The 27406-nt window shown below is 36.0% G+C and overlaps 1 long non-coding RNA gene across 1 annotated transcript in view, besides 1 other annotated feature; it reads left to right on the top strand.

Moving 5' to 3' along the window:
- Window positions 1-18719, top strand: part of LINC02945 (long intergenic non-protein coding RNA 2945) — a 308805-nt gene extending 290086 nt beyond the window's left edge. Inside the window, exons 2-3 of the long non-coding RNA NR_186683.1 lie at window positions 12469-12614; window positions 17592-18719. This is a non-coding gene — a long non-coding RNA (long intergenic non-protein coding RNA 2945). The remainder of the gene's footprint in view (window positions 1-12468; window positions 12615-17591) is intronic.
- Window positions 13518-14098: an enhancer, noted in NCBI's record as "NANOG hESC enhancer chr4:112729243-112729823 (GRCh37/hg19 assembly coordinates)". NCBI's record gives its function as "activates a minimal SCP1, AML or CMV promoter by ChIP-STARR-seq in primed H9 embryonic stem cells {active_cell/tissue: H9 hESC(primed)}" and the evidence as "EXISTENCE:reporter gene assay evidence [ECO:0000049][PMID:30033119]".
- Window positions 18720-27406: the final 8687 nt, after the last annotated feature.

The following is a 27406-nucleotide window of genomic DNA, read 5'->3' as shown; positions in this document are numbered from 1 at the left end:
CATATCCATTGGCTCTTTGACAATCTACCTTATAGTAATAAATGAAAGCTCCATTCTATAAACAAATATATAAAAGGGTATTTATTGCAGAATTTTTAATAGTAATTAGCAAACACATAAACAAAAAAGCCAAGGAGTATTCATGAATAATTAAATAGTGGAATCAATTACGGTATTTCATATTAGAGAATACATTTTTTAACTGAAAATGAATTAGATCCATATCTATGAACTGGTGGAATGTTGATAATATAAGTGAGAAATGCGTTGTGTATGGTACAATCCCACTTACATCTAAGAATCTTACATACCTGTACACTTGTATATATCTGTATGCTCAAGAAGAAGAATGTTAACACTGGTTATCCAGTGTGGGAGTGAAAGGAAAAGGGGTGAAATCATTAACTCTTCATGCATTTTAGCTTGATTCCTTGGTTGCAATTAGCATGAATTTCTTCTCTAAGATAAAATAATAAAATGTGAGGTGAAAGAGTTAAGCTTTATCTACATTACACAATCAAATAAACAAATGTTTTAGATCTGGAAATCCTGGCAACAACAAGCTGCCTCCTCCTAATGTTGACTGAAACAAATTTGAACTAAGTAGTTACTTTGGCTTGCTTAAACTTTGTCTTATCTCATCTGTCCAACCTCTTTGAACACTTGCAAAAGAGAACTGCTTTTAATGGTTAGGTGGCATTGCAAGCATAATAGCATTGGAATGATAACATTTTTGCTGAAAGAATGTGTTGATATATTTATACTGAAGGTATAGGGAGGCAATGTAAGTTTCAGTGTAGCTAGTGCATAATATTCAGCTTATGCTAATATTTAGCAATTATAAATACATGTATAGTTTATATATCTCAAAAATATACAAGAAAGAGGTAGAGTCTATTAAATAATTAAAAACATAAAAGTCAATATATAATTCAGTGCCTCTCACCCTTTTCCCTTAAAATAACCTCAGAACAGAATGAACGTGTACACATAGTAGTAGGAAAAAATTCAACCTAAAGGGCTCCCTTCCTGTATACAATTTTTTTTGAAGTCTCATGTTTTCTCTATTAAAAAATTAATGTGAAGTTTGCATTCTACTTCATATTATATTCAAGTTTGCCTTATAAATTTAAAGTTTTAAATTATGTACAAGTTAAATAACACATATCTGACTACACCCCTACCCTACTCCCCCAACCAGTTAAGATATTCCAGGAAAATGCACAATGTTTATTGTGTGGCTTCAAGTAGCTCAGAAAAACAATTGCCTGATGGCAAATGTATCTCACTGCAAAGAGAGAGGCATCTGAAACAAGGTAGTTGTCAAGTGGTCCAAGAAGAACGGAGATAATTTTTTTTTTTTCTGAGATGGGAGTTTTGCTCTTGTTGTCCAGGATGGAGAGCAGTGGAGAGATTGAGGCTCACTGCAAGCTCCGCCTCCTGGGTTCAAGCGATTATCCTGCCTCAGCCTCCCAAGTAGCTGGGATTACAGGCACCCGCCACCATGCCTGGCTAATTTTTTGTATTTTTAGTAGAGACGGGGTTTCACCATGTTGGTGAACTCCTGGTCTTGAACTCCTGACCTCAGCTGATCCGCCCGCCTCGGCCTCCCAAAGTGCTGGGATTACAGGCGTGAGCCACCGCTCCTGGTCCAAAATGAGATAATCTACTTCTTCACTTTCACTATGTTCTTGGAGATGTTCCTTATGGGACAGGAAACAACTTTTTCTTTGGCATTTGTAGCAGAAACTGACTAGATGCTTATCAATTTCATTTTCTCTTCTGGGGCGAACAGAGGATTATGTTTACCAGCTTGCTTTGCTGGTGGGTTGCAACCGTGGGATCAGGTTCTGGCCAGTGAAATGTTCATGGTGGACTTGAACTTCATTTACATACCTGGTCATAAAATTATCCTGTATAATTTTCCTCACTCTTAATATTTTTGTTGGTTCAATGCAGAGAAGCCTGTGGATGACTCTGAGGAATCTTTGCTAGATAGTGGTACAGTGAGATGAAAACAACCGGGATCCCGAATAACCACGTGGAAGGATGCTAAATGAACACTTGAGATTGCCCCTATTAACATGCATATATACATCCTCTTATAGCAGTCTTTGCAGCAATCCTAAAGGGACAGAGTTTTTACAGATGGAGAAATTAAGAGATTAAGCACTTGTTCGATTTTCCATAGCTAAGTGGTAGAACTAGAAATTAAATTTAGTTTTTCCAATTCTGAAGTAACTGCCACAATATAATGGCTTACCTACAGCATTTCAAGTAAGGACTCTTGATATTTAAATTTGCTATTGGTTATGCTTATTGGGAAACTTGGTTAGTGTACAGGGACAGGCTCTTAAAAGTGTAGTGCTACCAAGCAGGTGTGAACAAATTTTCCCATATGTTGATTAAAACGATCTTCTGGTAGAATGTTGGGTTTAAAATTTTTTTTTTTTACTGTAGTAAAATACACATAACATAAAGTTTACCATTTTAACCATTTTTAAGTGTATGGTTCAGTACCATTAAGTAAATTCACATTGTTCTGCAACTGTCACCACCATCCATCCCTAGAACATTTTTCATCTTCCCAAACTGGAAGTCTATACCCATTATAATCCCCATTTTCCCCTCTCCCCAGCTCCTGGCAACCACCATTCTACTTTTTGTCTCTATAATTTGACTATTCTGGGTACCTCATACATGTGGAATTATAAGCTATGTGTTCTCTTGTGACTAGCTTACTTCACTTAGCATGTCTTCGAGTTTTATCCACGTTGTATCATGCGGTAGAATTTGACTCCTTTTTAAGGCTGAATAATATTCTATAGCATGTATATCTCACATTTAGTCTATTCATTTCTCAATAGACATTTGGGTTGGTTTTGACTATTGCAAATAATGCTGCTGTAAACATGGGTGTGCAAATACCTGTTCAAGTGTCTGCTTTAAATTGTTTTGGATATGTATTTGGAAGTAGATTGCTGAGTCATATAGTAATTCAATTTTAAATTTTTTGAGGAACTCCATACTGTTTTCCATAACAGCTGTTCCATTTTGCATTCCAACCAGCAGTGTACAAGGGTTCCAGTTTCTCTACTTCCTATCAACATTAGTTACCTCCTGTTTTTCTTTCCTTTATTTTTCTTTTTAAAAAACCAGTAATAGCCATCCTAATGAATGTGAAGTGGTATCTGATTGTGGTTTTGGTTTGCATTTCCCTAATGAGTAGTGATGTTGACCATCTTATTTTGTGCTTATTGGCCCTTTGTATATCTTCTTTGGAGAAATATTTGCCCATTTTTAAATCAGGTTGTTTTTGTTGTTGTTGAGTTGTAGAAATTCTTTCTAAATTCAGGATATTAACCCCTTATCAGATGTATAATTTGCAAATGTTCAGTGTGCTTATTGCCTTTTCACTTTGTTGATAGTAACCTTTGATACACAAAGTTTAAATTTTGATGAAGTTCAACTTATCTACTATTTTTCTTTTGTTGCTTGTGCTTACTGCCATATCCAGGAAATCATTGCAAAATCTAATGTCATGAAGTCTTTCCTCTATGTTTTCTGCTAAGAGTGCTTTAGGTCTTACATTTAGCTCTTTGCTTCATTTTAAATTAATTATTATACTTGGTGTGAGGCAAGGGGCAAACTTCATTATTTCACGTGTGGATATCCCATTTTCCCAGTGCCATTTGTTGAAAAGACTATTCTTTCCCTAATGAATGGGCTTGGCACCCTTGTCAAAAATTGTTTGACCACATAAATGAAGGCTTATTTCGTTTTTTTTTTTAATCTTATTCCATTCATCTATATGTCTGTTGTTATTCTACTACCACACTGATTTGATTATTGTAGCTTTGTCGTATGTTTTGAAATCAGGACGTGTAAGACCTCCAACTTGTTCTTTTTCAAGATTACACTATTTAGGATGCATTGAAATTCCATATGAATAATAACGTAGATTTTAACAGTTATAAATTTAGATCTAATCTAGGTGTTCTTCCAAACACCAGTACTATTTTGAAAAAATAGTATTGAGAAAAATGTCTTGACTTTTCATCAACTTTAATGATAAGCTATGGGAAAATATCTAAAGATGTAAACTGTAGAAGACTTAGAACAGAACCTGGGCACAAGAAATAACCAAGAAACACGAGCTGTTTTTCTATTACTCCAGAGTCTCTCTTACTGTAAATACTGTTTGTAGCATAGCTATTTTTTTTTCCTTTTTACAAATAGGCCCCTGTTTCACTGCCAACTGATATTTATTCCGTATAGATCCTTAATAGATAGGCATACCTTTCCTAACAGATTAGGGCTGAAGGATTCAATTACTCTTACTTTAATCTCTCTTTGAAGGAATGACTTTTAAACTGAATACTTAATATGAAATGTTGATTTGCTTCTTGTATTAGTTTTCTATGCTGTGTGGCAAATTACCATGAATTCAACAGCTTAAAGCAACACATACATGTTATCTCAGTTTCCCTGTGTCAGGAGTCTGGGCATGGTTGCCCGGGTCCTCTACTCAGAGTCTCACAAGGCTGCAGTCAGGATTTTGACCAGGCTGCATTCTCCTTTGGAGCTCAGGGTCTTCCAAGACCATGTGGTTGTTGGCAGAATCCAGCTCCTTATGTTTGTAGGACTGAGGCCTCTGTTTTCTTGCTGTCAGCAGCAAGCTGCCCTCAGTTTTAGAGGCCACCTTAGTGCCCTGCCACATGGCTTTCTTACAACACAGCAGCTTCCTTCCTAAGGTCAAGGCTAGTAGGAGAACCTCTTTTTCTTCAGTCTACTAAGGCATTGTCTTATATAATGTAACACATCAGGGGATGACTGTCCCATCACCTTGCTCACAGGACATAACCTCATCAAGAGCTATTATTCCATCATATTCATGGCTCCAGACTGCGCTTGAGTAGATTATAAACAGTGTGTTTGCCAGGAGACAGGATTCTTGCCACCATCTTAAAATTCTGCCCACCAAACTTCTCTTGAGTTTAGCTTATTAAACAAAGCAATGCCAGCCCATATAGGGGGAAAAACAGTACTAAAATAATCAGAAATCAAGTCATAGTTAGTAGGGGATTTAAAAACAAAATATTGCATTGATTATGTAAAAGTAATCTAAACTGTTTTTAATTCTAATATTTTATGGCTGCTAAATGTAATTACCCAACAGGTTCTTCTGGCCCTCTGCACAGACAAAACGAATTCACTGAGATCAGTAAAGAAAGAGTTTAATTAACTTGAGCCCAGCCACAGGAGAACTGGAGTTTCTACTCATATCAGTCTCTCTAAAGGCTGGCAGGGTTAGGGTTTTTATGGACAATTTGATGGGTATGGGGCTTGGGAATGGGTGCTGCTGATTGGTTGGGGGTGAAATCAAAGGGGTGTGGAAAATGGTCCTTGTGTGCTGAGTCCTCCTCTGGGTGATGCCACAGGACTGGTTGAGTCATGAGTCATGGTCAGGGCAGGGTCCCTTGGTTGTCAGAATGCAAAAATCTGAGAAAAAAACCTCAAAAGACCAATCTTAGGTTCTACAATAGTGATGTTATCTACAGAAGCAACTGTGGAAGTTACAGATCTTGTGACCCCTGGCACATAACTTCAGAGCAGTAGGGAGTATAGAAACTACTCCTATATCTTAAGCAGAGTGGAGGCCTCCTTCATAATTCTAATCTAGTGGCCTTTCATCAGTTTTACAAAGTTGGTTTAGTTTTGGGAAGCGCTATTATCATCCTTGTTTAAGGGTAAACTATCAACTAAATTCCTCCCAAAGTTAGCTTGGCCTATGCCCAGGAATGACCAAGGACAGCTTGGAGGTCAGAAGCAAGATGGAGTCAACTGTAACAGATTTGTCTTGTCATAATTTTGCAAAAGTGTTTTCATAAGAAAGAAATAATAACTAATATATTTTAAGTCACATGTATAGATACTTATATCTACTTTCTTATTTAATATTCATAAATCTAAGTGGCTAAGACAGAATTTGAACCAGATCTAACTCTAAAATGTCATTCTTCCCATTATAGCATTTGAGCACTTAAGTATATTTATATATGTGTGTGTGTGTATACTCTCTCTCTCTCTATATATATACTCCCTTTATATATATATCTATATAATATATAGATCTATATTATAGTTTATATCTATATATTATATATTATAATATATTATATACTATATAATATCTATAGATAACATCTATATATTGATATATATAATATATATCGATATATATTTTATATATATAGAAAGAGAGAGACAGAAAGAGAGAGAGAGAGAACAACATACTATGAAACTTATTTTAAATATGAGGTATATATTTGAAATACTGAAATACTACAAATCAATTCCCTTTTGGGAAAGTAGTTGTATTATGAGTAGGGAGGCTTGAGGCTTCAAAAGATTGAAGCCATCTTTTCCAAAGGGCTACAATACTTAGAATGCAGAATCTTGTGCCCCTGCTACCCTGCCTCACATTACGTTGTGACCCTCTTTCTATTTCAATACATGATTAATAACAGGACTGAACTGGAACTAATGGGAGAAAAGGAAGCTAAAACGACAGTGTTCCAAGTTAAAGGTGGATCAATAAAGGCTTTTGCTTGAAGTAGTTGATGGAGCTTCAGAAGTGCAGTCTTCAAACCTGACTGCCAAGTGACCTCCTCTCAATGCATCCCTCAGTTTATCTCCAGCTCTTCAGCCCCTAGGCAGTATTTACAGGCAAACCAAAACAAAATGAGTGTTTTTGATTTTTGAAGTATGGATACTTTTAGATGATTCTTTGAAATTTGTTCTTATCAGTTTCTATTGATAAAATTTTTTAAGAGGAAAAGCAACTTAAGTAAAGATTTTGGTATCAGTCTTCTGCATTTAACATTAATGTCAATCTAAAGAGAAGAAATCATCTGGAGGGCTTGTCTTAAAAGGCTAGATAGGAACCCCGTGCCATTTGGTGCTAGGCCCTATTGACAGATTTACTGCCTTCTCAGAGGAGCTGCGGCCACAGAGTGATGGAAGTGGCAGGTGAGGGCGGCAGCTAAGAGGATTCCCATGCTCCATGCACGTGTGTAACTGGCGGCATCTAGGGTCACGGAGAGCCAGGCCTGTGTTTACAGTTAGGGTTTGTTGGGGGGTAAAAATTTATTTTTCTCCTATCCCTCAAGGTAAAAAACTCTTCTCACTGCTCAGTTAGGAGACTTTCCAAAGTAACCAAACCAAAACCAAGCATTGGTGTTTTAGAAATAGTGCAATGGTTATGCCTTTCTGCAGCATGGAAGGAAAAAAAAAAGAATCATAAATGAAAAATGACAAAAAATGAATAAAATAACCTTTTTGCCCACCATGTTAAATAAAAAGCACTCATTGGAAGCTAATATCAGTTAGGGAATGAACATGATGAGAATTGGTAAGCATTTTTTTGTCTCCTGTCTGCAAATAGCACTGATAATAAAACAGAATATAATATGCAGAATTTCAGTCTTACCCAGTTCATATGAATCAACCTTGAATTTGAAAACCATGCAGGGTAATTGATAGAGACCTACTGCTAAAGTGCAATAATGCCATCTAAATTTATTAAAGATTGTTAATGTATCCAGTCCAGAGGAAAAAGGACTATTTCAGGAAATAGTCAAGGGCGTCTTGGACAGACGAATTTTGTATAATATCAGAGGGTCCAATACTGGAACTAATGCCCCAGGACAAAGAGAATTCTGCATGAACTGTACTGGAAAGCCATGAACAGTACTGGAAAGCACTTCCTTCAGTATTGTTGGCATTCTGTAAATTCCCACATTCTACTGACTTTTCTTAGAGAAAAAAACATTTTAACTCAATGAATAAGGCAGTATCCCTACCCCCATGCACTATTAAAAACATGTCTTCTATATTTAAAATTGGTAGTTGAAGAGCTAACAAAGGAGAAAATTCTTATAAAGAAGCATTGTGTAGTCAAATTTGCTGGTAACAGTTCTGTTACAAATACATGTCTTAAAGCCAGTTTCTTTATTTTAATAACAATTGTTAGAGTACATAATCCTCTACAGCAGCGACCAGGTATCACTCATTTCTGATTCCACAATACCCAGCATAGAGCCTGGATCCAGCCCCATAAGTGCTCAGAGTATATCAAGTCTCTGTTTAAAAGGAAACTATCAGGCATTCGTGCCAATGCTTTTGTTCTTTTGAGTCAAGGACTGTTAATGCCATTCTCATTTTGTGGCCCACTTAAAATGTTTACGTTTGCTTTGATGTACTCTGGAAGAGCAGCAGAACTAATTTTGCTCACTGATAGGTGGATGTGTTTGTGGTGGGGATAGTTTTGAAATCACTTGATAATGACAATGAACTGCTGCCAGGGATGGGGGTTTACAGATTGACTGAATTAAAGCAAGCAGTTAACCTTCATGTGTAACAGTGGTAGTGTGTGGGCTGGTAGGATAGATGAGGGTGGGTGGTATCACAAGTTGATGAGTTATGAGGAAACTCCTAGACACAGAGAAAGACTCAGACATGAAGCTTTTAGGGAAACTCAACTAATGGGTCTCTTGTTTTGTATTTGTAGTAAAATGAAAAAAAAAAACTCTAATAAAGCACCTTTCACACTATGTTGTAATTATCTGTTTGAGTTTGTCTCCCTTAGTAGTGTGTGAAGTTCACAAAGTTAGGTAACATATCTAATATTTTTACCCAGTATTTAGTGCCTGACACTTATTAGATCATCAATAATTTATTAAACCAATAAAACAAATGAGTGCCAGCAGAGCCTTCTTATAATGTGTATTGGAAAAACATATGGGTGTGGTTTTACTTATATAATTTTATAAGCATATATTTTATATAATATACATAGATAGGTGTATTTTTTTTCTTTTGTGCTTAGTAGAATAATGTTCAGTGTGATGGGCAACTTGAACAATTAAATGAAAATAAATTCAAGATTAACCGTCGAAGAGCTTTAAGAGATTTTGAGACTGAGGTAATGAGCCATAAAGGTTAGTAATCCAGTCTTTTTAGTGGTTTTTGGGATATTTATGGACCTATATTTGCTTCCACTCTCTGAAAAAAGAATGGGAAAAATAAACATATTATTCATTGTGAATGACTTCATTAATATAAAGGGGGAATGGACCTTAAAGTCATTTATATATCTTAATGTGATAAAGCTTGAACTATGTTCCATTTTACATATCATGGAAGAAAACAATTCATGACATCATCAAATCAGCTACTCCCCTCCCCAACACACATGCAAAAAGAGCTAAAGGTTTAGGGCATTGTAAGACAGTGTAGAAGATCTGACTAGGATACACCTGCTCCTTAACAGCCTTCTTGTTCTTCAATAAGAAGTTAAGCTTGTTTGAGCATATGTCTTTCAGAACCTGAGAATATGGAGAGGACATATCACGAGAATTTGCCTTATCTCACTTAGGATTTGCAGAGAATAGAGCCCCCATTCTTTATTGCACTAAGACAATGGTTCAGTGGCTTTGGTGCTTTATCTCTTTGTCTCAAGCAAATTTGTTAAGTATTTCCCAAGATGTATTTTCTTATCACATTACATTAGGTAGTTTTTCATTATCAAATAGTTTATTTGAGATTTCATCAAAGTTACAAGTTGCTTATTTTACCCATGTTAGGGATAAGTTGAATGGAATGTTCATTATATACATATTTGGAATCACAACTATACTTTTTGCTGGAATTGTAAATTACTTACGCATTTTCAATAAAATGTAAATATTTTATAATAAGCCTGGGTGTATATTAAGTTTGGGAATTCAACATGATCACTGTCAGTAATTTACAATTTTCATGGTTATTAAATATGACAGGCAGCCCAAACAATTATTTTGCATAGGAGGGACTACTGTGTGGATTTTGTAATCCAGTTCTCTGTAGTTCATAGCTACATAGCTCCCCTATCCACTTCCCCATTGAAAAACTAGTTTCTGAGTCCATTTATTGTCCCTAATTATGTCAATGGTCTATATCGATTTTCCAGCAAGTCATCAAACAAAGGTAAATAGAGACTCTTCTCTACATCTATTTATTCGAAAGCTTTTGAGAGGGCTATTGAAGGGCTTGTTGGGAAAGGTGTTAATGAATTTAAGAGATTTATTTTAGGAAGCTCATATGCATTCATATTCTCAGAACAGGAACATGTAGTATAACTTACATTTTCAACCATGCTAGCATGCTAGCTAGTGCTGTTAGAAAAAATGCTGTGTCGTTCTCAACACTATCTGATCTATCTTTACTATGCACAAATACCTCATAACATTTTTCTAGTAAGCCAGAAGATTAATAAGAAAACTGACTCAGAAGGTGACACCAGGCTCTGGCCTAAAGCACGTCATAAGTTTGATTTTGACAAGTAGGTCTGCAGTAGAAATATGTTAATACAGCACTGAGTCTTAATGGAGGAAGAAAGAAACTTTGGTCTTTTAAAATGTTCTAAGGTTTTCATGTTGTAGAATAATGATTTGTGGTCAAATTGAACAAAGTAGAGGGGTCTTCCTTGGATGCCGACTTGAACCCCCAGGATATTTTTAAGACACAAGGGACATCGTGAAATGATCACTTTAACATAACTTCTTTGTCAAGGGTCCATTTAAGAAGGCAAATTGTGCTATTTTGAGTGGCACATGAAGAAAAGAGTAACTTCGGCATTACCATGGAAGATAAGTGTGTATAAATGCTATGAATAATTTTATTTTTATAGTTCTTTATTTTCTTTCGCTCTTGAAAATAAGTTTATCTTAGAAAGAAACTTCCAATGTTCTTGAAAGTTTTAAATTAAATCTTAAAATTCTGTCCAAACAGCAGTCTTAACACTATAATTTTTGTGTTTTTATATTTAATAGTAGTGAACTAGATGGAAGGAATGGAATTACAATTAACCACCACTACCAAAGCTTGCCATCCCTCAATTAGCTTTGTGTAAAGGGATACTGCTATTTACCAAATATTTCTATTGGAAACGGAGTCCAAATTATCCTTGATCAAAACTTAATTGGTAAGATTTAAAAAGCAAAAACAAGAATAAAGTCAAATTCCCAAATAGGGAATTGATTTCTACTAGAAAGCCAGTATTTTGGGACTTTAAAATGAATTGTGTGTCTAAGGCACTCCTCTCTTTCAATTTGTTGAGCACAGCAGTGTCTGGTGGAAAAAATGTCACCACATCACGTCCATGCCTCCTGTGGTAATCCTTGTGGTAGTCTGAGATGTTCTGCGTACTGAGGGCGCATCTATGTTCAGCCTCGCCACAGCCTTAAGCAATGGGTTGTATTTTATTTCAGAGGACTTCTTTCTCCGGTGAAGTATTTAATAGCTACTTTGGCACCTAGTACTAAAGTAATGTTATTTATTTATCTTTGTATAGTATTTTAGAGAAGTCATTCTCAAAGTGTGGCTCCTGGTCCAGCAGCATCAACATCACCAGGCAACTTGTTAGAATGCAAATTTCTAGGCACCACCCAAGACCTACTGAAGTAGAAACTCTAAAGGTGGGGCACAGCCATCTGTGTTCTAACAAGCCTTCCAGGTAATTCTGAGGCACACTAGAGTTTGACAATACTGCCTTAGAATTTTCAAAGTGCTTTTGTTTTGGTGTTAGGTAGTAGGGTACTGAGTTTGTTTTTCAGAGGAACCTAATGCTTACAGAAGTCAATTGATGTGCTCAAGCTCAGTCAGATCTAAGTAACGGAATTTGGACTTGAGCCATGTTCTTTTTGTTCCAAATCATCCCATTTTTTCCATCCGATACCTGCCACCCTGGCTTGTCAAAATAACTCGATCTACGAACACTGGGGGTTGGGGAACAGACCCAGGCTCCCGCCACACAATGTCAGGATGGGAATATTGTCTGAGTTTTAGGAGTAAGTCGCTTTTTTCTTTTTCTTTTTCTTTTTTTTTTTTTGAGACAGAGGCTCGCTCTATCGCCCAGGCTGGAGTGCAGTGGCGCGATCTTGGCTCACTGCAAGCTCCGCCTCCCGGGTTTACGCCATTCTCCTGCCTCAGCCTCCCAAGTAGCTGGGACTACAGGTGCCTGCCACCACGCCCAGCTAATTTTTTTTTTTTTTTTTTTTTTTTAGTAGAGACGGGGTTTCACCGTGTTGGCCAGGATGGTCTCGATCTCCTGACCTCGTGATCCGCCCACCTCAACCTCCCAAAGTGCTGGGATTACAGGCGCAAGCCACCGCACCTGGCTGATAATAGATATATTTTGAAATGTGAAATAATTAATTCCTGTGTCGAAGTACTGAGAATCTGTGACTTTAAAAAAATCAGACAAGCCCTGTAGAAACTTAGAGAGCCATCCACAAGACTGCCCTCACTTCTGACAACAACTCCAGAGTTCAGGGCTTCCTAAGACCACATTCAGTTTTGAGAGTTCACTAGAAGGACTCAGAACTCACTGAAAACTGTTTTACTCACATTTACAGTTTATTACAGGGAAAGGATACAGACACAAATCACCCAGGGGAAGAGATGCATGGGGCAGAATCCAAGAAGGTTCCAAACCAGGAGCTTTCAGTTACCCTTCCTCACGGAGTCATGGACAGCGCTGCTTTTCTGGCAATGACATGTGACAATACACAGTGAGTACTGCCAACCGGGGAGTTTACCTGAGCTTTGTGTTCATACTTTTTAGTGGGGCCCAATCATGTAGCTGACTGCCTGAGTGTCTGGCCTTTAGTCTTCAGCCTCTTTGGAGGCAGAGTGGTTACTACATGGCAGAAAGCCCCTATCATAAGTCATGTTGTTAGAATGTCTGGTGTGACCTAAAGCCCCCAGGTAAGCAAAGCCACTCTTCCTAGAGACCACCTCCCAGGAGACAAGGGCAAAGGCCAGACCTCTCTTTGGGTAAGGTTAATTCTTTTATACACACTCTGAAATTTAACTAGCTTAAGTGACTGAATCTTATCCTTTTCTTTGTCTCACTCCCTGTTAAGGAGGGATGTTGCTTCTGACCATGCAGGGAGTATCACAAAATGTGTGTTTATTGCCTCATCTTAAATAGTTATCACATTTTGATGATAATTTGCAATGTTTTATCAGTAAGGAAATGGTGAAGTGTGGCAGCTTGGGTTCAGCTTTTAGGCACACGTTCAAATGTAAGTTAAGTGTTCTGGCTCTTGTGCAGAAATTGGTGGCCCAACAGTCATTAACCCCAGAGCTTCTCTTTGCTTTCCATACATTACACTGGCTTTGCCCTTAAACATCAACATTGCTTCCTTCCCCCCTCCCCCCACAATGATTATCTCCCACCTTCTCTGCTCTCCCAACCACTGGTTTAATCAACACATATTGATTAGAAAATAATGCATCCAAATAATTTGTATTTTCTTTTTGGTCAAAATGGGCTTGGTTAACAAATTTACTTGAAATTATTAGTGTTGACTTATCAGAATGGAAAGGTTTTGCCTTACCTGGTTTCACTCACTCATTTATTCAGAGTTTATTAATTTCCTGTGATGTACCAGGTACTGATATGCACACAAATATGCATGCACTATATCTCCTCCTTACAGTAGGGAGCTTTGTAAACTACACATGACCTCTTTTCATTTTCTGCTCTCCATCTTCTCGTTCTGTTAGTCTTCTGGAGTGGGTAGAAGTGACGGGAAGGTGAATGTAAAGACACAAAGAGGTCCCTAAATGATCTGTTCAGCTCCTTTTCAACTACCATTAAGAACTGCTGTTAGAAGTTTACAATGTAAAGGAAGAGACAGAGAAGATAATCACAACCTTCCAGGTGAAATACTAATAGAGGTATGTTACTAAATACATTACAACGTTTGACTATTGTTAGAGTTAGAGAAGCAAGGTAGAGGAATGGATTCTCTGTTGGATTCCCCAGTAGGTGACAGATTTTCAGAAAAACTAGTTTAAAAGAGAATTGAAAGTATGTGTGTGGGGGAAGATCTATTCAGTTAGTTTTAAAGCTTATTTGTTTTTGGTCCTATGAGTTGATGCTTGTCCAACACAAGTCATAGGTAGTATTCATGATTAAATTGATTGATGAGTTACTGATAGGGATGGGTATTCTAACCATGGACTCACATTTAGATTCAAAGGAGAATAAAGTTAGGTAGCTTTACAATAGTAGAAATTTTAAAAATGCAGTCATTAATTACGTAACGCCACACAAAGGCATTTTACTGTAAGCAAAAAAATAAGCCTTTTCTTTTTCATTAAAAAGAAATCTATATAGATGTAGCCTGGAGAGGAGGAAAGTGTCAGTTTTCACATTTAAGGATTTGTACTTTATGAGCCTTGATATGTTAATGCCTCCTTTGGGGTTCTTTCGGATGAGCACATTGCACAGGTGGCCCGCTGAATTTATAGACACAATAACTGAACTGGAGAAAAAAGAGGCCAGAGCATTTGTGGCACATTGGATACAGCTGGCTTGGCTCCTTAAGAGCCGACATGAGTTTTATGTGACAGAGCCACTTACTGAGTCAAGAGACGCTCCTTTTCCTGGGATCCCGACCTCCTGCTTTTTTCTCTTCCCTCCCTTTAGTATAGACCAAGGCAAGCTCTCAGAGCTGCTTTGTCAAACTGTGAAATGAGGAAATTAATTTATCATAATTTATAATGTTCTGAAGGTCTTTGAAATGAACATCTGTTAAATGCAACTTCTCTTTGTAATATGCTAAAACTTGGGTGAGTTAAACAATTAAGGGACTGGGAAACTTGAAAATATTGAAGTGTCTGTGTCTGAAAAAAGTTTATGCCAGAGAACTGGCTTTTGTAAATTAAAGTGGTTATTTTATCATCAAATTATAAACACTGCATATACACTTGCCATATTTGTCAGGGTGGGTATTAGGTGTTTGACTGGAATTTCCTCAAGATTATTGGTATAGTCATTGCCAAACATTGTTGAAAATAAAAAAGGAAAATGATTTCTCTGTCTCTGTCTTTCTCTCTCTCTCTCTCTCTCCACACACACACACACACACACACACACACACAAACACACACACACACACGATATTAAACTTAAAAGATGCAGAGTTCGTTATTAACAAATACTTCTACAGATTCAAGGTGTTCCCCTGCCGGTTTCAACTAATACTGTAGCAAAAATGGAGGCCCTTTTCAGCACCACTATCTCAAGTAAGGGGTATACGTCCTGGAGAGATAGGAAAAGAGAGATGAAAGCATGAGAGAAATGGTAAAAGTTAGAGACGGTGTGATTTATAAAGCAAGAGTCAATGAGGAATAGGGCATGATAGAGAGAAAAGAGGAAAAAATATTGTTTTCCTTACCTTTGCATATTATTTATGGGCAAGACATTATTTTTAGTTTTTCCTCTATTATTTCCCCCTGGGTTCAAACTTGTAGCCAGACTCTGTGCCTTCAGGGGAAGTTGACTTAGAGGGCAAAATGTAGAAGTTATTTGCAAGCTGTCTGTATTTATGGATTTTGTTTTCTAGAAGCTTGAACACTGAGGAGAGAGGCTGGAGTGCAGGCATTACTTGAGGCTAGGTGGCCCTGGAAGCCATGAGCTCCCCACGGGGAGGTTAAAAGTCCTTAGAAGGGAATGTCCAAGAGGTTGGCCCTGGACGCTGGTCCTGAGCCTCAGGTTTCCAGCCTTAGCCAAGACTCCCTTGTGCCACCTCTGGTACACAGCGGGATTTCAGGGCCTGACGTGAGCTTGGACAAAGGTTATCTCTGTATGAAGCCATTCAGAGAGAAGTCCAGAAGAGACTTCTTAAAGTACTGGCATTATGCTATACTGTATTACCTTTGTAATACCCACATGGAGTACGGGAAAAAAATTCCCTGCCTTCCCATGGGATGGGGCTCCAACTAGGGTTTGTAGTTTCACATTCTTCTCTGCCTGCTACATTTGCTTTGTGGGCTTGAAGTCTCCTTTTTCAATAACTCTTCTGCACTTCCTTGCCCATCTTACCCATTTCTGTTGTCTCATTTCTAGCAGAGAAAAATATTCACAGATATTGTTATGTATATATGTATGTATTCAGTTACTTTTAACTTCATCTATTCCCACAAAGGACTTTAGATAATGTAGGAAATTTGCTTAGAAATATTATCAATATAATAATAGTATCCTTTCCACATTGAACAATCAAACATAGGTATAAAGAATTGTGAACCAATGGATTTGAGACAAGAGCTAAATTTAAATTTATCCATTGTTTAAGACAAAAGGCCTATTAAAATCTTAAAAATATACAAAAGGCTGTGGGTTGGCTATTTGATATTTTCATGAGCCTATATAGTGTAGTAGCTAATGAACTTGGGGTCTGAGGTCAGACATACCTGAGATTCAGTTCCAGCTTTTCTTAATTCTAACTGTACAATATTGGGCAAGTTTATTTATTTTTTTTTATCTGCTCTACAGGGTTGTTGTGAGGATTGACTGTAAATACGGGTAAAGCATTGAAGAGTGGCTAGAACAGACTTAGTGTTTAATGTTTAATAATACTATTTAGTATGCTTGCTACTAAAGGGTCCTGCTTTCAAAAATTTAGGATACGCACATGTGAGGCAAACAATTGTTATGCTCATAGCAAGTCATGATCCTGGGTTCCTTTCAGTTAGACTCCTAAGAATCTCTAGCAGAACACATTTTAGTATTATTACTGTGTGTACTCAGAAAAATAATCCTATATATACTTCTTTGATATGTTTCTATAATTCAAATTATCTATTACTTCAGATTGGTATTTCTCTCACCTACAATGAAAAATGAGATATTTTTATAGAGGAAAAACACATCAGCATGACATGTTTTGGCTTGCTTTATCTAAAAGTAGTAGTGAATTGCACTAAATTATTAACATAGTTTTTCTAGTTTTCACTGTTGGTTTTGTGTAGTGTGTGTGTGTTTGCCTGTGTACTGTGCACGTGCACCATATTCATGCACTTAAAGCAACCTGAAGTTATTTAACCTCAACAGTTTAATTGATGTTGAGGTTATCACACTGGCCTCATAAGCACTGTGCTTCATTTAAAGAGCTAGTCAATACAGACTAAATGTACAAAATGACACGACTAGATAAAGCGTTTTCAAAGCATTGTGTGCAATACATGCCATATGCTGGTAGAAATCATTTTTCTTAAGGGGTATTCTATAAAGGATAGTGCTTACTTGCTCTGCATTTTTAAAAATTTTTTAAAATATAGCCTTGATTTGAGTAATAAAATAACTTCTACTTCTTTCAGATGTTTATTTGACATAGATATTTTACTTGGGAATGTATTATAGCCCATAAAAAGGATTAGCTAAGAATAACTGAACCTGTACAATGAAGTGAGAAATATGTACTGTTAATTACCTGTTAATTTAATATGATCATATAGCCCACAAATACATAGAATGAATACGTTAGTTAGATGGTCTTTCCTCTCTGAAAATGGGTGGAAACCTTGGCTGAATTTGTCTGGCAATATTGTCTCTTAATTGACTGGTCTGCATTGGAATGTTTGTTTCCTTACATAATAATTTAATGCAATTTGTAGAGAATTCTGTTTCTCCTTCTGCAAGCGGTCAAAGTTCTGTCTTTCAGGTTCTCTTTTTTCATCTTGTTATTTTCCAGATCTAGGCATATACTAGGCTGTAACGAGATTTGCTCTGAGGACACATGCTGTCTGTGAAACATCTTCTGCTTCACTCTGGGAAGAATGATTGAATTTCTTTAGCCACAGTTTTGTTTTCTGTCTCAAGGCGTTCACTGCCAAGGTAGAAGGGATTCAGCATGTTCTAGGTCAGGTTTTTACTGAAAAAGATTTTTATGTCTTTCTTGAAAAAGTCATAAAAGGAAAAAGAAAAGAGAATGGATGGTCACAAACTAAATGGTTCAGTTGCGAACGTTGCCTCAAATATTTCCTTAAGGCTCATTAAGAGGAGATTTTTCGGCAGTAGAATGAGTGAGTCAGAAAGGTTAATATCTGGTAGATTTTTAATAGGGTTTTACTAACCTAGATAATACATTATCCTATTAGTAGAAATATCTAATTGCAAAGAATAATTCATTGGTCGGCCTTGCTTACAAAAGAGAGTTTAGTTATTGAGCTAGTATAATAGGCTTCTCTGACATCTAAGAATTTATTGCAAAACAGTTAAAACTATATGTACAGACTTGACTAGAAGGGTGGTCATCTTAGTGTTGTGTGTATTAATAGTAGACAACAGGCTGGGCATGGTGGCTCATGCCTGTAATCCCAGCACTTTGGGAGACCAAGGTGGGTGGATCACTTGAGGTCAGGAGTTCGAGACCAGTCTGGCCAACATGGTGAAACCCCAACTCTACTAAAAATAAAAATAAAAATAATAAAAAATGGGCTGGGCATGGTGGCGGGTGGCTGTAATCCCAGCTACTTGGGAGGCTGAGGCAGGAGAATCTTTTGAACCTGGGAGGCAGAGGTTGCAGTGAGCCGAGATCGCGCCATTGCACTCCAGCCTGGGTGACAAGAGCAAGACTCCATCTCAAAAAAAAAATAAATAAATAATAGACAACAATGAGAAAAGCTAGGTATGCATTAATTCAAAGTTGTTTAAATAAATTATTGTAACAAGCAAAATGGAACACTCTGAAGTAATTTTAACTGACTTATTGATATGAAAAGACGTTTTTGATATAGTTTTAGTTGGAAAAAAATACAGAATAGTATTGTATTGTAATTTCTATGTTAAAGTTTTAATAAAGTTCCTTAAGTGCTGACAAGATTATGAGTAATTTAAAATTTATTGTATTTGCTTTCTGTATTTTCTAATTATCTGGAATGAACATGTATTGTGATAAGATATATCAGAATGTTATGCACATAGCCCAGTCTTATTAATCAAATATTTCAATTAATAGAAAATTATAAGATAAATTTCATATTGATTAATTTGCTTTTTCACTTAACCCCACACTATAAACATTTTTCCATGACAGTAAATATTTATCAAACATTTTTCTAAAGTTGTTTTCTGTTTTATTGCTTAAAGGTACAACAGTTTAACCAAACTCGTATTGATGAACAATATGATTGTTTTAAGGCTGTAATAAAACTACTATTGTATATACCTCTGCTTACTTGTAGGAGTATTTCATAAGAAAATTTCTAGTAATGGAATTGCTAGACTAGAGAGAATACTAATGTAAAAACACTGTAAACATTACTGTTAAAAATATTAGAATTTTTTCCTGCAAATATTCCTCTTAAATCTATCAATTTATACTCATACCATCAGGGTATGATTGTTGCCATTTTCCTTGCCCCTTGATGTCGTTTGGCTGTGTCCCCAACCCAAATCTCACCTTGAATTGTAATAATCCCCACATGTCAAGGGCAGCACCAGATGGAGATAATTGAATCACGGAGGCAGTTGCCGCCATGCTGTTCTCGTGATAGTGAATGAGTTCTCACGAGATCTCATGGTTTTATAAGGGGGCTATCCCCTTCACTCAGTACTTTTTCTCTCTCCTGCCGCCCTGTGAATGTGAAGGGGTGCCTCCCGCCATGATTGTACGTTTCCTGAGGCCTCTCCAGCCATGCGGGACTGTGAGTCAATTAAACTTCTTTTGTTTATTAATTACCCAGTCTCAGAAATTTCTTCATAGCAGCATGAGAATGGACTAATACGGCCCTCAAAAACACCATTTATTATCTATAGCTGTGCTGTTCAAAATGGAGGCAGTGCCAATGTGTGACTATTTAAACTAATTACAATTAAAATACAATTTAAAAATTAGTTTCTCAGTCTCATTAGTCATACTTCAGGTTGCACAATAACTACCCGTGGCCAGTGGTTACCATAGTAGGCAACATATACAAACTATTTCTATCATTTCAGAAATTTCTATTGCACTGTGCTACGTTGTGCTGTGCAATAGCACAGTTTTAACCCTTGATAATTTGGCAAATGAAAAACATCTTGTCTTAATTTTCATTCCTTTGATTTTATTCAGCTGAGCATCTTTTTAAACATAATTGTTAACTATGTTAACTTTTTAAACATAATTGTTAAGTTTTATGTTAACATAATTGTTAACATAAAATTACCTTTTTTTGTCTTTTGCTCATTTATATACTGTGTAGACTTTATTTTATAAGATCTTTATATTATGGATATTAACCCTTTATAAATATGTTGCACAGTTTTTCTTATTTACTGTTTATCTTTCAAGTATATTTATAGTGTCTTGCAATATAGAAGTTTATGTGGTCAAATGTGTGAAGCTTTTTCTCCGTGGTCTGATTTTAATTTCTATCTAAATAAAACACCACCTAAAGAAGTATAAAAATATTATCTTATATTCCTTTAGTACTTTTAGTTTTTTTATTTATGTAAAATAAATCCATTTGATACAAGGTTCTTTTTGTTTCCACAAGTAACCAGTTTTTTATCATAATTATTGAATAAATTCATTTATTCCCTAATGCTTCAAAATGCCAATTATTGTTTATTGCATTTGTCTCTAGTTCTATTTTTAGATTTATTGATCTGCCTATGTTTGTGCATGCCATATCAACTTTATTACTGTAGCTTTATATTATGTTTTACTAACTGATGGAACAAGTTTTCTAATGTCATTTTTCAAAATGTCAATTATTGCTATATATTCATTCATTCATAAAATCTATAACTGTCAGATTCTATCTCTTCCACCATAAACTATTTTTATTTAAAGTTTATTAAATATACAAATAAATGTATTGTCATTAGATCTGTACAATTTTGAGGTTTTTTCATCTAAGAATATTAAATTATTTTTTAACTTTGAAGAAGTATGTTATAGCTGATGTTCAGTTTCATATTTATAGTTTGTACTCATTTTTGTGCCTATCAAGATCATTTTTTAATTTTGCTTTGGTCTAGTATATAACCCAATTTACTGTTTTGTGTCATTTAAAATTGTTGATGAGGATTCCTTTACATGTTCCGCAAAATAATTGCTAAAATTGCTATCAGGACAGAGCCAAGCATAGAAGACCATACGGTGTGCTAAATTTAATGCCACAGATCTGTGATTAACTTAGGAGAGTTAAGTAATCTCTAATTCTGTTAAATATGAAAACTATATTTTAACATGAAATTACATTATACAAAATTATTTTAAATCATTCAGAAAGGCTTTGAAGACCTTTATTGTGTGCATATTATTATTTTATACGCTAATAATTATTTACTACTTGATACAGTTTGGATGTTTGTCCCCTCCAAATCTCATGTTGAATTGAAATCCCCAGTGTTGGGGGTGGGGCCTGGTGGGAGGTGTTTGGATCATGGGGGTGGATTCCTCATGGATGTCTTGGTGCTGTCCTAGTGATTGTGATGGTTTTCACAATGTCTGGTTGTTCAAAAGTGTGTGGCAACTTCCCCCTCACTCTCTCTTGCTCCTGCTCTCACTATGTGATATTCCTGCTCCCGCTTCAGCTCTGCCATGATGGTAAGGTTCCTGAGGCCCTTATCAGAAGCAGATGCTGGAGCCATGCTGGTACAGCCTGCAGAAACTGAGCCAATTAAACTTCTTTTCTTTATAAACTACCCAGCCTCAAACATTTCTTTGTAGCAACTCAAGAACAGCCTAACACACCATTCGCATATGCAAGTATTGATTACTGAATTTGATGATTAGCAGAATGCCTGATAACCAGGCTTTCCATAATAAATACAACATGAAATATCACTTATTCCTTAACAAATTCTGTATTTCTCTGCTTTCTTTTCAAGAGCTCACCCTTCCTCAAACGCTCAAATCAAATCCTTCCATGCGTTCATTTCTGCTGGAACATTTTGCCCAATATTTGGTTTAGTTGCTGAGACAATGAAAGTTAACTCGGACTACCTATAGGGGCCTTAAGTCTTGCCACAAAGAAGGGGTAAGAAATCACTCTGCTGCCTTCTTCCTTGAATCTGGTGTTTAGTGGGTGAACTCTGATAGGAAAATAGCTTGTCTTTTTCTCAGCCAACTCCATATGGATCCCATGATTACTAGTTTGAAGTCCAAGTATCATCCAAGATGAAATCTTGCCCTCAACATCAGGCTGATTTGAGTCATACCCTCATTTTCTCTTCCATTTCTGGGAAGTTGAATCCTATATTTAACCACCACCACCACTCTGGCTGAGGCATTCCCTCATCCCATCTTCCACTGCCACACCAGGTCCAGGATTCTACTGTACTATAGACAGGTGTTACACCGCTCTCCAGATTCACATCATTATGGCCCCACCTCATAGAAAGCAACGCACATAGCGTAACAACTTGAGTTGGGCAGTTCACCATCTCCTGCTTAGGCACTTGGTTGGATTCTTGTTAATTCTGCTTGAGTCCTACTCTAATGTCATTTTAGTTTTCACAGAGACAAAATTATCCATGTTATAAATACAGTTGACCCATGAGCAACATGGGTTTGAACTGCATGGGTCTACTTGTATGCAGATTTTTTTCAACCAAACACTGACCAAATGTACAGTTTGCAGGATATGGAGGTCTGACTCTGCATCTGCGGGTTCCACAGGTACTACTGTGGGACTTGGCTATGTGCTGATTTTGGTATATGTGGAGGTCCTGGAACCAATTCCCTGGCTATACTGAGGGATGACTGTACTTGTTTTTCCCTGCCAGCCCACTGTTCGGGTAGCTTCAGACATTTTATGTGAGACTATGAAGATTATGAAGTTTTGACTTCCTTGACAAGTCTAGCTTAATTATGAAATTATTTTAGTGATTTTTTCATGCAGTTTGTAATTTATCCCATACTTCTAAAGTGCAGGAATTATACTTTATTATATCTCTCATTGTTGTAGTAGCCATATTTTCTGGGAAAAAAAATCCAGATACATGATTTGATAAATTCTACTATTCTTACACGGTCAAAGTATGAATTATTTGAAATAGAACCTGACATTTTTATTCTGGCTATCATTATTTCTTGCAGGTAGCATTCAAAAAGTTTCTTGTTTAATATATGTGAATAGCATATGAAATGCATTAGTTGAAGAAGCATTTTCTTGATTGTAAAAATAATTACTTTTAGGGAACTTTGGAATAAATTACTATGTTAATTTTTTTTTTTCCCTGAAAATTCTTAGCACTTTGTATTGCGTCGCAGAGACCCTCCCCACTCTGTGCATAGAATAGTCTTTTCAGTATAGCACCTGAAGGGGTCACTCATGCACAGGATACTTTCTCTCTATCCTGTAAATACTCTCTTGGTGATGGGTACTCTTGATTTGAATAGCAAAATGTCTTTGAGTAGTGGTAGAAACATTTTGTGTTCCTTCTGAGGGACAGAGCAGTTGAATTCTGTCTTGAAATAAAGGTGGTTTTCCTAAGAAGTGTGTTCAAACTTAGGAATTTAAGGGATATTCTTTTTGTTATTTCTGAAAAAGTTATTTTCTTGACATTTTCCTAGAAGTTTGTTTTAAGGATAAGAATGGAACCTAGAACACATATGCATTAGAATGATTAGATTTTCAAAAGCTTTGTAGGAAATTAGGGCAAAAAGTATTTTCAGACCTTCATATGTATTTTTTTCATGGAGACAAAATTTTTTAGTAGAGGAGTGGGAAGGGTTATACTTGCATAAGCATAATTTTCCCCGAAATTTAAATTCGCTTGCGTTTTTCTAATCCAAAATATAGCTCAAGAAAATTTCCTCTGGCTTTATGGTTTATTACTGATTTCACTCTAGGCAAGAATAATGAAAACACCCAGCTTTGGCAGTTAGATATTGTTATGACAAAATCTTTTTATAATATTGAGACTTTTTTCTCATTACAAAATGGGACTGATGAATTTCACACACAAGGGGCTACCTTGACAATCCTGACACTTGTATGATTATTGCATATTATCCTGTTTTTTAAAAACGTGTGTGCCTAAATATCCCAGAGTAATGATTATATGATAAAATGTCATACTGCTTTTGAAATGCTTTCAGTCCTTTCATGACAGAAAATTAGGTAGAAAGTCCAATTTTCCATATCTCTGTGTAGGCTTTTTTATTTCTAAATTTAGATTAGGTAGACATCTTAAAGTAGTTTTATAGAGAAAAGTGCGGTCATATTTTTAGGTTCCTTATGTTTGACACTTGCATTTTTTAAGCAAGCAATACTCATTGATTACCTAGGAAAGTTTCCTTATGCTTTGTTAATTTGATAGTATGGGCAATTTATTAGGTGTTTCCTGTTTTTAACTGCAGTCTGATTCTGAAGGAAATGAGCAGAGTCTGTGGCACAGCAGATGAGTCTGTGTCTGATGAGAGCCATGTGGGCCAAACTCTCATTTTTCATAAGTGCTGTCATTTTACAGATGTATGACCTTTTTCTTCTTTCTTCAGAGGAGGAGGGGTTGGGGAAAGAAGATAATGCACAGGGTTCATTTGAGAAACTCTTGTAGGCAGATACACAAATCATGTCACGTAAACCAGAACAGGCTAAGGAAACCTCACATCTCTTTTCCGAAGACAATAACAGATAGGACAGAGAAAGATGGAGTCAAAGATGATTAGGAAAACAGGAATGGTTAATGGATAACAGCAACGTGGCGCCAAGCTGTTCATTCCATGTCATAAAGATATGAAGCCACACAAACAGAGGCCAGGTAAAAGGTCTCTGAATGAATATCCAATCAATGCAGATGTATATTTGTGCTTTGAGACTTTTTAATAGAGAATAATGTGATGCATGGAGAAGTTACTTGTAGCAAATTGAGCTATTCCTTACTTAGAAGTTGCAGCACGCCCGGAGCTAGCTTCCCAGGTGTGTGGTGTGACCAGTGTAGTCACACAGGGCTCCAAGCCAAAGTGCCAAGCACTTAGTTTAATGCTCTGCTGTTGCCCTGAATTTTGATTTTGCACTGGGTCCCACAAAATGGTAGCCAGCCCTGAGAACATGCCTAATAAATTGTGGAGATGTATATCTTATGTTTTCAGTACATGGCACTTTTAATTTCTAAAACCATAGGTTCACATGGTCCTGGAAACCAATGGTGGTTCAAATGGTGGTCATGGCGGCCAGCAAGGAGAGCTGTCTTAGGCTCTTGTCTCACCGAACATCTGACCTACCTTGCTTTAGGTCCAGGGGATTTATTTGATCAAGGCTAAATTTGATGGAAAGTTGAGATCAGTTCCACATCATAACTCATGTTTAAGGTAGGGTGAAGAAAAAAATTTATTCTGACATTTTTTTTCTATGAATAACCAAAGTTATGGTTCTCTAAACTTGATCAACATATATACACACATGAATATGCACACATATGTGCTTATACTTAGAATAAGTTTAGTAATATAAATTATATATTAAAATAATTTATTTCATAATATAAAAACACTGAATCAAGTGTAAAATTTTCATACACATGAAGAGATATCACTTTGTAGGATCTCCTTGAGAAAATAAATCTTCACTATATCATATATTCATTTGGAGTAAACATTGTACAATATTATCATCACACTATTAAAAGGGGTTCATTAAGAAAACAATTATTTTTTTACCTGACTCTTGCTAAATTGTTTTCTAATGATTAGTTTCTTTTTAACATCTATTTAAACTAGGTCTGACAGTGCTATATTATGAAGTCAGTTTCTCATTTTTTTTTTGTAGCACATTTTGGTTTAATTAATCTACTTTACTTTGTCCTGTAATAAACTCTCAGGAGATGTGACTGTAACTCATGAAAGCCCAGTGAATTATCTCAGCTGGAGCTTATTTGGCCTCATGATTACAGGGAATTTTTGAATCTGAGCTCCTCAGTAGCAGTTTCCACCTCACATAGACAATATTGTTCTGGAGCCTTCCCTCAGCCTGCTCTCTCAGATGCAGGAGTTAATGTTTATTTTGGGAGGAGCTACAAAGGAAGAATCTCTTTCACTTTAGTTGACCTTTTCCAAAAAAAAGATAACATGCTAGTCAGCTATACATATTGTATCTAATGATAAATGTTAAGAATGGCTCTGATATCAATTAAATCAACTTCATATATTCATCTTAAAAAATACCCAATCAATCAAAATGCTTTCTCGCAGGAAAAGTGGACCATTAAATGACAGTTGCCAAGCAATTTCTATTTTACAAATCAATTCCATGCTTAAATTGAGGTTTATATTGAAAACATCTAATCTATTATATATATCTTAAAAAAAAAAAGACCCTCCTCCCAACCCAAACTGTTAATTATTGCACAGTCAAGGCTGCAATTAAAGGCTGAAGAGATTTGTCTAGCAAGATAACAGAGGGAGGAAAACAAGGAACACAATCTCTATGGGGCAGTTACATCACACTTGATAGCTCTCTCACACTTGATAGCTCATCCCATGGATGCTGTTGTTTGTTCCTTAGCAGAATATCCTAGTCAATAGATAGATAAAAATAAAGAGCAATTGAGATGTGCATCTGCCTGATATTGGAAAGGAATATACCTCTCCAAAAGGTCTGAAAGATTCTCCTCTATCTGGATGCCTCAAACTCAATGCTTTCTCTTTAGTTAATTCCTCAGAAAAATGTTACCGATAGCAATATAACTATCCAATCACTTATTTACTCAAAGATAAGGGACTGTATGTAAACTCACTTAAGATAGGCACAACAATTCTTTAAGAAAGAAGACTTCTTCATAAGATTTAATTTAAACCAAAAGAATAGAGCTAAGATTAAATAAAGATATTTCAGAACAAAGAAAGTGTCTTATATGATATCCTTTGGATTTCCATAACAAAACTTCAAGGCTCTAAACTTGCAGCTACCTCTAATATAACACTGATTTGTTTTAAGTATTACTCTGAAATCTTTTCTGTTACTTATCAAAATTTGTTCTTTTTAATTTTCATCTTCTCAACTTCAATTTTTAAAGTCACCTATTTCTGAAAATAATGGTTTTTTCTTTACTTCGTTTTTTTTAAGAAAGGAAAATCAAGTTCTTGTCATACTGTCTGAAACCAAGGCATCTGAAACTGGATAAATTCTCTAATTCATTTTTTTTAAACTTTACTTTTGAATTGGCCCTCATTTACATAATCTCTTTTAAGAGTCTCCATTGTATACTTAGCTTAGGTACACTTACATGTATCTTTCAGCAGTACTTTATCCATCTTGATATAAGAGGCATTGATTAAAATCTATCTAGACATGAAGTCTTTTCTTATTTTAATAGAGTTGCTGTATTATAGTTTCTATAGTTGACATTAGAAATGAGATATTTTCATCTATTTGTTGAAATTATCATAAAATAAAGGACTGTAATAATAGACTGAGTTATAACAATGGTGATGTTTTGAATTGAGTCTCAAGTTATGCCAAAAAGTTGTTTAACAGTCTTTTGGATACATATAACTATCATAACTATATACTTCTATAGTCTTGTGACTTGAAGGAAGCCTTTTTCTTTGCCATAAAGATTGAAGATGATCTA

The sequence above is a fragment of the Homo sapiens genome, chromosome 4, assembly GCF_000001405.40.
Source record: "Homo sapiens chromosome 4, GRCh38.p14 Primary Assembly".
Classification (NCBI taxonomy): Eukaryota; Metazoa; Chordata; class Mammalia; order Primates; family Hominidae; genus Homo; species Homo sapiens.
This window is presented reverse-complemented; position numbering and strand designations above follow the sequence as displayed.